This window comes from Homo sapiens, chromosome 12 (assembly GCF_000001405.40).
Source record: "Homo sapiens chromosome 12, GRCh38.p14 Primary Assembly".
In the NCBI taxonomy this organism is placed as follows: Eukaryota; Metazoa; Chordata; class Mammalia; order Primates; family Hominidae; genus Homo; species Homo sapiens.
The window spans coordinates 4,638,859-4,653,802 of record NC_000012.12 but is presented as its reverse complement, the minus strand read 5'-3'; the positions used below and the strand labels follow the sequence as shown (position 1 = coordinate 4,653,802).

General features: G+C 39.9%; 2 protein-coding genes across 3 annotated transcripts in view, besides 4 other annotated features; one reads left to right on the top strand and one right to left on the bottom strand.

Moving 5' to 3' along the window:
• NDUFA9 (NADH:ubiquinone oxidoreductase subunit A9) overlaps positions 1–4,689 on the bottom strand; it is a 45,204-nt gene extending 40,515 nt beyond the window's left edge. Inside the window, exon 1 of the mRNA NM_005002.5 lies at positions 4,628–4,689. Within this exon, the coding sequence (NP_004993.1) occupies positions 4,628–4,676 (49 nt within the window). The 5' untranslated portion in view covers positions 4,677–4,689. The remainder of the gene's footprint in view (positions 1–4,627) is intronic.
• Positions 4,264–4,919: an enhancer, noted in NCBI's record as "H3K27ac hESC enhancer chr12:4758050-4758705 (GRCh37/hg19 assembly coordinates)". NCBI's record gives its function as "activates a minimal SCP1, AML or CMV promoter by ChIP-STARR-seq in naive H9 embryonic stem cells {active_cell/tissue: H9 hESC(naive)}" and the evidence as "EXISTENCE:reporter gene assay evidence [ECO:0000049][PMID:30033119]".
• Positions 4,264–4,997: a biological region, named in NCBI's record as "H3K27ac hESC enhancer GRCh37_chr12:4758050-4758705".
• AKAP3 (A-kinase anchoring protein 3) overlaps positions 4,752–14,944 on the top strand; it is a 33,534-nt gene continuing 23,341 nt past the window's right edge. The window contains exons 1-3 of one of the 2 annotated variants that reach the window (NM_006422.4): positions 4,752–5,036; positions 8,611–8,748; positions 11,799–11,904. The gene's annotated coding sequence lies outside the window, so the exon portion shown is untranslated. Of the gene's footprint in view, positions 5,059–8,610; positions 8,749–11,798; positions 11,905–14,944 lie in introns of both variants that reach the window. The other variant, NM_001278309.2, reaches the window with a different exon arrangement.
• Positions 4,788–4,997: an enhancer, noted in NCBI's record as "active region_5829". NCBI's record gives its function as "activates an Ori minimal core promoter by ATAC-STARR-seq in GM12878 lymphoblastoid cells {active_cell/tissue: GM12878}" and the evidence as "EXISTENCE:reporter gene assay evidence [ECO:0000049][PMID:35858748]".
• Positions 5,278–5,327: an enhancer, noted in NCBI's record as "active region_5828". NCBI's record gives its function as "activates an Ori minimal core promoter by ATAC-STARR-seq in GM12878 lymphoblastoid cells {active_cell/tissue: GM12878}" and the evidence as "EXISTENCE:reporter gene assay evidence [ECO:0000049][PMID:35858748]".

Genomic DNA, 14,944 nt, shown 5'->3' with positions numbered 1-14,944 from the left:
AACAGAATCTGAAACTGGTGACTAATGAAAAATAAGGTTGATGATACTGGTCGGAAGCAGATGATTATTAGTACAGAACATTAAAAAAAAAAAAAAAGAATGCAGTTCAATAGTTCAGACTTACTATAAAACCACTGAAGAACATCACAAATAATGATAAAAGGAGTGAAGTGCTTGAGAAAAGATATTCTGACTTTTAGAAAGTTTAACAGCAAGAGACTTGTCAAACATTCCACCATTTCTTTTTCATTGACTGAGGTTCTTGGTACTAGAATGAACCCTCAAAGTTCATGTACCAATGCTTACATCTTCTCTACAGCATGTGTGCAAAGAAATCATCTGGCTTTTGCCTGAACACCTGTGGAGTTGGGAAACTCACTACTTCCTGTAGCTGCCCATTCTGCTTTGAGCCATTCTAACAGAAAGAAAGTTCTACCACAAGGGGAATCAGTGACTGCTTCCCAGAAGTTTTTATCCCTGTGTTCCTCCAGAATGACAAAGAACAAGTCTAATCCCTCTTCTACAATTAAGTGTAGCAATTATAGCCCCACTAAATATTTTCTTCTCCAGGTTAAACATTCCCTGTCCTGTCAAATATTCTTCATATGGCAGGAATGAGAATCTCTTTTGGATACATTCCAGTTTTCAAGTTATTGCTAACTCCTTAGAATAGAATTTTAGAGTTAGCTGCTCAACTTTCATGTAAGTAGAAACAAAAAGGTTTAAAGTGCTAACGCACTTCTGCTCCAATCAACAAACTTCGGAGCTTAGCATTCGTGCTTTGTACACTTGGGAGAGGTGAAAGACACAAACAGGACTTTCTTTAGAAAATCTGTGTTTGTTTCTAGGGATGACTTTCAGGTGGCATTCTGCCCAAAGGTCATTGTTCTTCCCTATCCAAAAGTATTGAATTGGAGAAATAGCCTAGCTCACTGATAGTGACAGAAATTAAAAGTAAACATCATGGACCACACATCATAATAACAAAATAATAACATCATATTAACAGCTACCTTTACAGAGCTCTTGGCAGGTGTCCAGCATTATTCTAAGTGCTGCATAGGTATTATCTTTTTTAATGCTATCTTTATCACCACTTTATGGATAAGGTTAGTGACTAGCCCAAAGCACTAGTAAAGGAGATTAAAAAGCAGTCCCATGAGGTAGGAGAAAAACTCAGAAGGAAACAGAATCTAAAAACCCAAAATAAGAAACTGTTTCAAGGAGAGAATGGTTAACTTTACCAAATGCTGAAAGTGAAGTAGGAAGAGGACAGAGGACCACAGAAGCTGGAGGATGTGGCTGTAGGTGGCATAAATAAGAGCAATTTTATTGGATTAGTGGGACTGAAAGCCAGACTGGAGCAAACAAGAGAGGCTGTGAGGCAAGGAAGTAGATGAGGAGTATACACAATCCTTCTGAAAAAGGAGAAATGGAACTAGAGAAAACAAGGACAGGAATAGGTTTGTTTGTTTGTTTTAAATATGAGTTAACATTTATGTGCTGATGGAAATGACATGATTTCCATGGTAGAGGTAGAAAATTACTGATTCAGGAAAGGGAATGAATAGTTGAGAGAGGATAAGATTGAATGCAAAGTGAAGGAACTGGCCACAGATTGGAACAGAAGGAGCTCACCCACTGTAACAAGAGAAAAGGCAAAGAATTATCACATATCAACTATTAGAGTTTATGGTGGGAAAATGACTGTTCTCATCTGATTCCTTTGATTTCTCTGTAAAGCTGAGAATGAGACAAAAGCACATGTTAGAGGTTTTAGGAAACTCGCTATGTTAAGTAATGATTATGGAGACAAGGAAACCAAATTTCCTAGAAAAATGTAGCACTGAAAATCTACTTGAGATTTGTATTCATGAATTTAAAATAAGGCCAGTTAGTCTGAAGTTTTCCCTAGCCCCGTTCTCCATTGCTCAGTGGCAGGCAGCAAATTACGTGGAAAGTTTTGTTTAATCAGGGTCAATGTTTTTTACGACAATGGGAGTTGGGCTGGGGAGTTGAGGATGCATAAAAGGGAATGATAAGAGTGAAGAGTAAGGAAATGAGGACATAGGATAAGACAGGCAAAAGATGGCAGAGTCAATGAACTGGGAAGAATTACTTGAGTTGAGGAATTAATACCTCAAAGGACTGTTAAGAGGATTAAACATACATAAACCACGTAGCACATTACCTAGAGCACATTAAGCATTCTATGAATAATAGTTGCTTTTATTACTTTGAAATTTCTCAGAAGGTAATGTCACACTAACCTCACATGGCTATTGTTTTTTTTTAATAATTATGGGCCAAGAATTATTCTAGAAACTGTGACTATCACAGTAAAATACAAAACCCTGGCTTCATGAAGCTCACAGTTTAAAGGGTTAATGAGAATAACATATGGGCAAGCATCTGTCACAGTGCCTTGCAAATACTAGGTGCTCAATAAATATAAATTATTACTCTCTTTGGTTCCAGCCTCTCCACTTTCTTCCATTTATTATGAGTACTATTAGAAGAATGATATTCTTTATTAATTATATATTCATTATATTTCTCTGCTTAAAAACCTACATTAGTTTCCTACTGCAATACCCAAACCAATAGTCCAGACATATTTGCTTGCACACTGCATTAATTTTTTTAAGTATTTATTTAAAAAATTATATGCACGTTCTATGTAGTACCAATATGATATACACATTATAAATCATACATTACTTAGAATAGTGTGTGGCATACAGTTTAAACTACATAAGTGTTAGCTATTATTACTATAGAAAGCAATTTTTAGGAGTTCTAATTTATATTTCCACAACTTATTAGGTCCTCTTGCACAACTCCCTTTGGAGACTACCGATCTAAACTCTGCTTGGCTTTCAAAGGTCTCCATTGTCTGATCCCATCTAACACATTCAACCTCCTTTTCCACTATCCCAGATATTCAGGTAGTCATTTCACTGCCTCTTGAATACCTCATGACTCCATTCTCACCCACTTGTCTTTGCCAGAGGACTTTCCAGATCATAACAGCCCTAAAGAGACCAGTGGGAGCACTACAATTCTCCACTGGTCTTCCAATCATCCCTCAGTACCTCAAATGATACTAATCTTTCCCTTTTATGATTTCCTGTGATACTTAATAGTCTTGCCACACTTAACTATATATAGTTGTCTTACACAGTTCTGTCCTATAGTGTGTGGATTATGTTACATACTAGACTTGCCTCTACAGAATTTACTCAAAAACTTACTTTACCAGACAATAACGCAGAGTGGTTAAGAACACAAGCTATGGTGTCAGTCAGAGGAAAGTAAGTTAAAAGAGGAAAATTAATAAAAATACCTAGAACTGGAGATTGCAGATAGCAGGTACTCAATAAATAGTGATTACCATTCACAATCTACATTACGTCATACAATTGTAATAGTTTAACAAGAACCAGCAAATGTCTTTGCAAAGACATTGTGACTACAAAACCATCCACTATAAGTGATGTGCACCACCACCTTCCCAGTGGTATGCAGGAGTTCTACCCAAGATGGAAAACAAAAAAAAAAGGATCCTCTAAACACTCCTAATTCTTGCCTCAGGCTGAACATCAAGCCTATCTGTGGTGCTTTTAAAAATTTAAGGTGCAAGGAGCTAATCTCACAAATTCTGACTCAATAGCTCTACACTCAGTCCTCATTTCTAATTTTTATAAAGCTTTACGAGTGATTCTGACATGAGCCAATTTTGAAAGCAAATGATATTCTGTAACGACTAAAATACACTAAGAAAAATACAACTTTGGGGGTTTGATTGGAATATGTTTGTGGAAGAGTAGAGGGTGAAAGGACAATGATGAAGTGTAACCGTATTTCTAATTTCCTTGCTTTTTAGTGAGTGGAAGGACAAATGTATGTTTTCAGTTTGAGGAGTGGGAGCAGATCCAATCAGAACAGAAGAGAAACTAAATAATGCTAACAAATTCTAACATAGCCTTCATTCTTCACTTTCCTTTCCACCAAGCTCCTGATTCTTCTCTCCTCAAACATCACTCTCTCCCCCAGACCCCAACGCACTTTGCCGAACACATTCTACATCCGTAGAGACGCTTTTGGGTAAAAGGATGCTTTTACAAATATTAGCTCATTTAATCTTATCAGAGACTCCCTGGTATTGTAATATTATCATTTCCATTGTGCTCATATGAATTGAGACCCATTAAGGGTTTGCACAAGGTCATAAAATCAATCTAAGAAAACCTCTCGCCACTAGCCTTTTTTCCCTCCCTTACACATTTCTCCCCCCGCCCCATACAAATATTTCTCATAACCCTAAACCCTTACAACCATATCAGAATTCTGATTCTCTCGATCCCTAACGTGTCCCCCGCATTCTCCTCTTCGCTTACAGCTGCTTAAGATCTTTTGTCCCCTCCCAAGGTGGTGCACAATTGAATATGTGAGCCGGGGAAGCGGAAAGCGAAAGGAGAAACCAGACTGAGGCAGCTCCAAACCTAGAGAAACCAGAGTGTGCCTAGGAAGTTGGCGTGACCGCTGCAGCACGGTGCCACTTCCAAAACCTTAAATCCCCGTCTCGGAATCCCGACCAGGGGCCGCCGTTCCCGGTAACACTTACGTGACATTGACAGGACCCGGACAACCCGGGATTGTGCGGCAGCCGCCATCTTTTCCCACAATCCCCCACGACAGCACTCCCGGCTGACTACGGCTGCTAAGCTGGGTCAAAACTTACCTTTCTCGCCTGTCTGCGCAAGCGCTAACCAAGAAACGACGGTTTCGGGTAGATTGTTGGTTAAGAAGAAAGCTGGGAAAGTGAAGGAGAGGGGGAAGAAAGGAAGTGAAAAGACTTTGGCTGTTGGAATCTCAGATCTGGAATAGGCTGTATAGGCTATTTATAATCTCTAATTGCCGAGGAACCTGAAGTTCAGAGTTAACCAGTGACTGACTCAGGACATGCAAAATGGCAAGACCCGAGGTAGAAGAGCTCACCTTTCCTGACTCTCAGTTTCCTGTTCCCTGAAAATGTAAGCTAAGCTGGCAGCCCTGGTGAGTCCGGAGGAAGAAGGAGGCGTAGCCCTCCGCGCTCAGGAGATCCAGGGCCCAGGAGAGAGAAAAGGGGGGACAAGAACGAGGGGAAAAGTGGAGAAGAGAAACCAAAATAGGGTGTGTCCCAAGTAAATAAATGTGCGTCGAGCCCGCCAAGCACATTCTCTCATAGGGACCCTTGCGCCTGCTGTTCGCGTTTCCTGGAATGCACACTCAGGTGTCTGCACCAGCTCAAGTCTCTGCTCAAAAGTGACCTCTTCGGATAAAACTTCTCTGACCATCCTATCCAAGGTGGTAATTATTCCACCAATTTTTGGTTTAAGTTTATATACCAAAGCACTTATCACCAACTAGCATATGAATCTAGGAGTTCTTAACCAGAAGTGTGATTCATGAGTGGGCTTCGGGAAATCTGTGAACTTCCTGAAATATTATGCAAATTTAGTGGCCATGTGTGCCATCTGAACATCTGTCTAAGGAGAAACTGCAGATGGCTCTCTCTAGCGCAATGGCTTGTAATTTTTTCTTTAACTGTGGTCACCTTTGAGAATCTGCATTGTTCTACAAAGAGCCATCTAGAAACTGAGGAAATTCCAGGTTAGACTAAGCGCTTGGATTTTAAAATACTTTATTCTGGTCAACCTCTCCAGATTGCTGGGTAGGAGATGGCAACCAGTGATCCTGTGAAACATACCTTAGGCTTATCAGAAAACCACCTAGTTTGGGGAGGGCGGGTTCTTTCTAGACTTGGTAATCCTTCCAGTGCTTTGTTTTTTCAGGAAAAGTATGTGTTTCTGGGATAGACAAAAAGGCCTGTGATGAGTAGGGATGTAGAAGTTGCTTATTACTAGGCTTGAAATCTTGGCTGTTTCCACTCTATCTTGCCCCTACTGTTTACTGAAGTGTCGCCTAACAAATTGAATTGGAAGAGAGAAAAAAACCTTGAATTTCATCGGAGAAGCTTAGTAGTAACGCTACACTGTCATATTTCTTGGCCTTATCCTATGTTCACTTAACACAATTTGCTAATACTTGATTTTGGGACCAATATGGATACTAACATACTTTCCTTGTTCGGATCAACAGATCCTGACTGTCATCAGCAACCTGCTTACTCCTGTATAACACTGCCAATTATATAATTTAAAATCTCTAAGTTAAACACTGCCTCATGTTCTCAGTTCTAGTTTCAAGGTTGCATGGTGTAATTAAAAGAACACTGACTTTTTTTTTTTTCAGAGATGGGGTCTTACTGTATTGCCCAGGCTTGTCTCAAATTCCTGGGCTCAAGACCTCCTCTCACCTTGGCCTCCAAAAGTGCTGGGATTACAGGCATGAGTCACTGTGCCCAACTGAAAGAACACCGATTTTTAACACCTAGAATACTAGATCCCATCCCCAGTTTTGTCATTCGTTAGCTGTGACCTGGACAAGTTTCTACACTTGTCTAACAGGGTAAATAAAACCTACCCTGGTACCTCAAAAGGTTATTATGAGAATCGGGTGGCGTAATGGATGCAAAGATGCTTTGTCACCCGTAAAGTGCTATATGTAGGTCCATGCAGTACTATTCAAATACCACTGAAGTATCAAAATCATAGAATGTTAGAGCTGGAAGAGATTTTAGGAGCTCAGCAAGCCCCATTATTTCAAAGACGAAGAGGCCAGGTGCGGTGGCTCATGCCTGTAATCCCAGCACTTTGGGAGGTCGAGGCAGGCGGATCACTTGAGGTCAGGAGTTCGAGACCAGCTTGGCCAACATAGTGAAACCCAGCCTCTACTAAAAATACAAAAATTAGCCGTGTGTGGTGGTGTGCACCTGTAATCCCAGTTACTCGGGAGACTGAGGCACAAGAATCACTTGAACCTGGGAAGCGGAGGTTGCAGTGAGCCGAGATCGTGCCACTGTACTCCAGCCTGGGCGAGAGTTGAGACTCTGTCTCAAAAAAAAGAAAAAAGAAACTGAGATATTTTGACAAATATAATTTGACTAGTAGGTGCACTTTCTGTGAAAAGAATACAAAAGCTCTTGAGACAATATAAAAGATCATCAATGGATAAATAACTTTTTTTTTTTTCAAGTCTCACTCTGTCACCCAGGCTGGAGTGCAATGGTGCTATCTCTGCTCACTGCAACTTCCGCCTCCCAGGTTCAAGCAATTCTCCTGCCTCAGTCTCCCGAGTAGCTGGCATTACAAGCGTGTACCACCATGCCTGGCTAATTTTTTGTATTTTTAGTAGAGACAGGGTTCTGCCATGTTGGCCAGGCTGGTCCTGAACTCCTGACCTCTAGTGATCCGCCTGCCTCAGCCTCCCAAAGTGCTGGCATTACAGACGTGAGCCACTGTGCCCAGCGATAAATAACTTTTTTGAAGGAACCCTGTGATAAACCAGCCGCTTTTGAATCTGTTGCAATTTTCATCATTATCTCGTGGCCATGCTTGGAATTTCTTTTTGCTCCATGGAAACTATATACTAGTCCTATATTTAATCATTAATTACAGAGTAGCTGAGGTAACATTTTCAGAGAATGTAGTAATAAAGCATAGAAAGAGTAGCTAACCAAATGCCTCTTGGTGTGATTTTTCCCACTACAGTTTCTCAGGTCAGGCATTGCAAATGATAAAATAGGGTTATTGTATCTCTGAAGATCTAAGACAAATTATAACCCAGAGATGGTCAGTTTAGGCAAAATATCCTAAAAATAATTTTTTTACAGAAGGCAAGATGCTTATAAATAAAAAGAGTCCTGGCTGGATCTGACAAAATGAAGTGATTCCATGGGATATGCATAAAATTTAGACCCTCAATTCTTTTATTTCTCATTCTCCTCTGCCGTCCTCTAGATTTGTTAATACATAATACTTACTCTGCTGCTTTAAGTGGAATCCATTGGCAAAATGTCCCCTTCCCGTATTCCCCCACCTATATTAAACACTCTAAAGCAGAGGTCCCCAACCCTCAGGCCATGGACCGGTACCAGTCCATGGTCTTTTAGAACCTGGCCACACAGCAGGTAAATGGTGAGCAAGTGAGCAAAGCTGAGCTCCACCTCCTGTCAGATCAGTGGTGGCATTAGATTCTCATAGGAGCTTGAACCCTATTGTGGAAAGTGTACGTTGTGCACTCCTTATGAGAATCTAGTGCCTGATGATCTGTCGCTGTCTCCCACCATCCCCAGATGAGACCATCTAGTTGCAGGAAGACAGGACTCCCACTGATTCTATATTATGGCATAATAGTAGAAATAGAGTGCACAACAAATGTAATGTGCTTGAATCATCCAGAAACCATACTCCCACCCCACTCCCATCCGTGGAAAAATTGTCTTTCACAAAACTGGTCCCTGGTGTGAAAAAGTTTGGGGACCACTGCTCTAAAGAGAGAATTAATCAGAATAAAGCCCAGTCCTTCTAAACTAAACATCAGCCCCTTGGAGTATATCTTCACCCCTCCTCTTTGTCCTGTTGACCATTCATTTTCTGGTAGCCTCACTACTGTTGCTATAGAGACAGTGATATCACCAATTGTGATTCTGATGTCACTCTCCAGTCCCAGCAAGGGGGAGGTACATGGAAGGCCACAGGAAGAAACAAGATCTTGAGCTGAGCAAGAACATCCCAGCATCTTCATTGACTTTAAAAGTATATTCTGGAGTCTTCCGTGGTTCACTATTCCAGTACTACAGAGGTAGGTAATCTTACTGGACTGATAAAACAGCCCATTTTCTGATCCTCTGTGGTTGGAAGGGAGAATTCAATGACAAGTGATAGGAAAATTGTTATGTTCAACCTAGCGTTGTTCTTCTGTCCAGCTGATTTTTTTTTTGTTTGAGATGGAGTCTCACTCTGTTGCCCAACTGGAGTGCAGTGCTGCAATCTCGGCTCACTGCAACCTCCACCTCCTGGATTCAAGTGATTCCTCTGCCTCAGACTCCCGAGTAGCTGAGATTACAGGCATCCACCATCTCACCTGGCTAATTTTTTGTATTTCTAGTAGAGACAGGTTTTCGCCATGTTGGCCAGGCTGGTCTCAAACTCCTGACCTCAAGTGATCCCCTCCACTTCGGCCTCCCAAAGTAATGGGATTACAGGTGTGAGTCGCCATGCCTGGCCTGCTCAGCCAATTTTAATTTTACCTGTGAGTCCTCTGGAAATAAGTGAACCTCTCCTTCAGCAGCTTTAAAGTCAAACCTACCATCTTTGCTGCTGACATTGTGATTTGGTTACAGATTTGACAAGATCTCCTCAGCTATCCTTTTGGAGACATGAGGGGCCTTACTTCCTGCTTCCCCATTTGATAGAGTAGAAGCTTGACTACCTACTGACTTTTCCTAGTCATTGTGTGGCCATTCCTAAATTTATTTTCTTTCCAGTGCCCCAAGAGCAAAATAGAACTGGTATAACCCCGAGTCCAATTCTCATACACTTTTATCTTCTCACTGTTATTTCTGAAGTCTTGGTTAGACAACAGAACTGGGAAAGGGCAGGATATCTATAGCTATGTGGTGAAAGTATCTATACTAACAGGGACTAGAAGAAGAAGCTCTTACTTAGGGAAGGTAAAAATAAAGACTTTCCACCGGAAAGCTTAACAATGAATGGTGCCATTGAGACACACACACACACAAATCTTTATTTAAAGAAAATCGATTGAAATTCTTATTTAATCAGCAACCAAGTTTATTGAGCTTCTACGATGTAGCAGGCACTTACAGAAAGGAAGGCAGTAAAAGAAAACGGATATGAGAAACATACTGTTCCCTCTCAAAACTAGTAATAAAACCTGGTTGAATGAACCTCAAAACTCGATCAAGTACTTAGCAACCCTGCAAGAACTTTGCTTATGCTTTCGCTTCTGCAATCTGAGTTTTTACATGAGTTTAGGAACCTTGGGTAAACAGGAGCCTCTCACTTAAAATGGATACAGGAGAAAACTGCCTTGAGATAGAGCTATGGTCTAGGATATAACGACCATAACCAAGCCCCTATGTTGCTTATGCCTTTCATGACTGGCATTCAGGTTTGCACTCCTCCTCAACTTGAAGTAATCATCACATTGACATTTTTGAGAAACATTTTAGTCCAATCCTTCTACTTGCCATGGGAAAATTTCACAGCTGCCAGAATGTTATCAGGGCTGGAATATCTAAAGGAATATATCTGCTGATTCTAGTATTTCCTTTCTGAGCCTCAATATCCTAATCTATAAGCTGAGAGTATTAGAAAACATGGTTTCTGAGGTCCATTTATCTTTAATAGATAACACAAAGTATCATTTTCTCTTTTTTTTTTCTACCCTAACTCCAGGATATTATTTACCAGCTTTTAAACTTATAGCAATTTATGAATCCATTCACTGACTTCATTAAACTCTTTAGATCTTCCTTCTTTTCCACTTTTATTATGAGAAACATTGATTTAGAAATCTGAATGTCATTATCATTAATAAGTTTTAAAGTACCTCTTTATAGATGCTGTCATCTAGGACAGACAGGAAGTTTTAAAAGTCCAAAACAAGCTTCATGATGCAGCTAAACCCACTCATAGGACCTAGAAAATAGAATTAAAACATTAGAATATATTTAAGTGAAGTGTTTGCTGAATATATTTGACTAGTAGTTATGCTTTCATGAAAAAAATACAAAAGCACTTTTAAGATGTTGATTTATTTGTACTAGTGGAATAGGAAGGTCTGTTAGTAAATCACTGAGTAAGTCTGTGCGGTGAACGTATCTCCCAAAGGAGTCAAGCTTCAAGGCGTCTTGAATATATGGATTACCGCCATAGTAACCGCCATAGTAAATTTGAGCAAGCCGTCTGTTTTTTTGTCCTTGGATTCTCCAATCCAAAAGGAAAAATGAACTATCTGAAAATGGGCAGGTGGTGCATATTCATTCTTCCAGCAGATAATTATTGAGCTCCAATTTTAAGATACTAGCTACTATAAGGCATACCAAGATGAATAGGAAAATGCCTCTCCCCTTATGAAGTCATCCAGTAAAGAAAATGAAATACATGGGAGCAATTAAACTACTAGATAGAATGTACACATTGAAACAAAATATGATGGAAACTTCAATGAGGGAGCAATCACATTCATTAGGTATCTAGAAAATATTTCATGGATGGGGTAGCCCTTGACCTGGGCTAAAAAGTAAGGGTAGAATTTAGAGAGCCATTACTGGGGGGCTGGGTGGATATTCAAGAAGAGAGTACAGTGCCCTAATGTCTTCCACTGAAATGTCTTAGTAGAACTAAAACAAGGAAGTTAATTAATCTGGAAGATATCTATGAACTCCCTTTATAACTTGAGGGTGTGTATTTCTCTCAAGTCCTCAAAGATGCTTGCAAAGTGTTTTGAGTTCCATAAATTCAGGGTGCTTATTCTTCATTCCAGCTATTTTTCTTCCAACTTCCTATTCAAGCAAATTTAAAATTAAGCTAAAAATTTTTAGGGTCTTCGTTGTTTAAAAAGACTGTATAGCAATGATTTGAAAGTGAGGAATAACAATAGTCATTTAAGAAATCATTGGCCCAAAAGTGCAACCTTTTTGTCATCTTGGAACTGCTAGACTGCATCAAGAATAAGATGTGTGCTCATGAAATTTGAATGTCATTTTGAGCTCATTACTTAAATGCACATGTGAAAAATAATAAGTCAAAAACATTATTGGGTAATAAGAGCAATACGTTCCATCTGTAAAATTAGTCATTTTTATCTGTGTCTTTCCATTGCAGATTCCTTATATTACATGGCAGGAGGGGGGTAAACTGAGGGATAGTGAAGACAACAATAAATTAATCAAGAGCTTTCCTCATATCTCAGAACCTATCCTCTGTAAGAGTAAGTGATCACATAATTTCTGTACTTTTTGTACATAATTGTCAGCATTTTAATTTTATATAGCTTGAATAAAGCAATAGATCCTATTGATTTTGTCACAATTTTCTACTAGGAGTAACTCATTTGGATGAAATATACACAGAAGATTAAGAGATTGTGTTTCTGGCTCTCACTTGTACTATCAATAATCTAGGACAAACTGCTTCCAAGTCTTCCAATTCTTTGGCCAAATAATAGTAGCATTCATTGTTTTCTTTATAGTAACGATGCAAGCATAAGAACATTTCTATGTGTGTATGTTTATGCAGAGGACATTATAGAGTTTAACTTCAAGGCATTAACAACTTCCTTGTTAAGATAACAAAACATTAACATAAGATACCAAAGAAAATTAGGAAATCTGGCCGGGTGCAGTGGCCCACACCTGCAGGCCAAGGCTGGCGGATCACTTGAGGTCAGGAGTTCGAGACCAGCCTGGCCAACATGGTGAAACCCTGTCCCTACTAAAAATACAAAAATTAGCCAGATGTGGAGCGCCTGGTGTAGTCCCAACTACTTGGGAGGCTGAGGCAGGTAATCATCACATGAACATTTTTGAGGAACATTTTAATCCAATCCTTCTATTGGCCATTGGCCATGGGAAAACTTCACAGCTTCCAGGATGTTAGCAGGGCTGGAATATCTAAAGGAATTAGATACTCCCTGGGAAGGCGGAGGTTGCGGTGAGCATCCTGGGAGGCAGATGTTGCAGTGAGCCGAGATCGCGCCTGTACACTCCAACCTGGCCAACAGAGTGAGACTTTGTCACCAAAAAAAAAAAAAAAAAAAAAAAAAAAGGAAGTTAGAAAATCTGTCTCAGAGAAAATTTTTAAAGAAATGGGTAAATAATTATCTTTCTGGACCTACCCAGTCTTTTTCACAGAGTCTGTCCAGATAAGCCCTGGTCTAGGAATTCTCAATTCTTGATGTGTTTTAGAATCACTCAGGGAGCATTTAAGAATGTTAAGAATGCCTAAGTTTCCCCAACCCAAAACCATTGAAATAAGATTTTCGGGGGGTAGTAACTTGGATTCAGTATCTTTACACAGTTCTCTTGGTGATGCTCATGTCTAATTAGGATGGAGAACTCATTGTTTACCTAAGGAATCCATTGTATTTGAGTGCCTGGAAGATTAAAATAAACTGCTTCCTTAGCTCAGTAATCTGAGTTAGTGATTCCTGTGTGAAAATGAGTACAAATCCTTGTAGGAGCAAAGAATAAGTAGCTCTTAAAAGATCTTGTATTTTCTTTGTAATGATTATCTAAAACACCCTGTATAACAAAAATGACATATCCACTTATATAAGTTTCAATGATGTATTTAATCTTTCTTTAATCTGTGTTGGTTTTATTTTGAGGAAGGACGTCTACCCTCACCACAGTCCAAAGTCCTTTAAAACAAATATTTCCAGTTAACCAGATGTTCATGCCTTAATACTGCTTCACTTATTTCAAGCAATTCTTCATAAAACACAATTTCACTATAAAAAATTAGGATAAGCTGTTGAGCTTGATTATAACAGTATTTTAAACAAGTATTTTGTTGGAATCAAAGCACAGAGATATTCTATTTCATAAAGATGTCTGAGGCATTGGGGAGGAGAAATGGGCTATCTTATTCCACCTTGATAATTGAGAAGTATAGATCTGAGCAGAGTTTTTTTTGTTTGTTTTTAAATTTTTTAACGCCACCAACCCAAATGTCCATCAATGATAGACTGGATTAAGAAAATGTGGCACATAGGCTGGGCACGGTGGCTCATGCCTGTAATCCCAGCACTTTGGGAGGCCGAGGCGGGTGGATCACGAGGTCAGGAGATCAAGACCATCCTGGCTAACACGGTGAAACCCCGTCTCTACTAAAAATACAAAAAATTAGCTGGGCGTTGTGGCAGGTGCCTGTAGTCCCAGCTACTTGGGAGGCTGAGGCAGGAGAATGGCGTGAACCCAGGAGGCGGAGCTTGCAGTGAGCCGAGATGGTGCCACTGCAGTTCGGCCTGGGCGAAAGAGCGAGACTCTGTCTCAAAAAAAAAAAAAAAAAAAAGACAAGAAAATGTGGCACATATCCATCATGGAATACTATGCAGCCATAAAAAAAGATGAGTTCATGTCCTTTGTAGTGACAGGGATGAAGCTGGAAACCATCATTCTGAGCAAACTATCGCAAGGACAGAAAACCAAACACTGCATGTTCTCACTCATAGGTGGGAATTGAACAATGAGAACACTTAGACACAGGGCGGGGAACATCACACACCGGGGCCTGTTGTGGGGTGGGGGGATGGGGGAGGGACAGCATTAGGAGAAATACCTAATGTAAATGATGAGCTAATGGGGGCAGCAAACCAAGACAGCACACGTATACATATGTAACAAACCTGCACGTTGTGCACATGTGCCCTAGAACTTAAAAGTATAATTTTAAAAAAGAAAAAATTAAATTAAATTAAATATTACTGCACCCCCCAAAAGAAAAAAATTTTTTAACGCCAACCGAGCCTAAGGGATGAAGAGGGAAGGAGGGGTGAGCTGAGCAAAGAATATAAGAAGGGAAACTTCAGTGTGAAAGCCTGGGAATGGAAGTCTGGCATAGAAAAAGAGGGCAAAGAGAAGGTTCTCATACTTTTAGATGATCAGTGGATAACTCTCAGTCATCATGAGAGTTGGCCATGTTTTCAAAGACTAGCAAGTAAGATTCGGTGTTGTGGAAAGTGTGTGAGACTAAGGCCAAAGCCCAAAGGAGTACATATAATAGGTATGTACATATAATACTCATTTGCAAGGAGAATCAATGAAAGCAGCAGGTATAAGCAATATGTTTAAGAAAAATGACTGCAAATGGAAAAAGAGAGAAATAGTAGCTAGAGGGAAGCTTGGGGTGGAAGAAGACAATTAAAATGAATCTCAGTTTTCTGGCTTAGAAGACCAGGTAAATGGTGGTGCCATTACTGAGATTAGGGAATAGAGCAAAGTATTGGGAAGGTTGTGAACGAATTCACA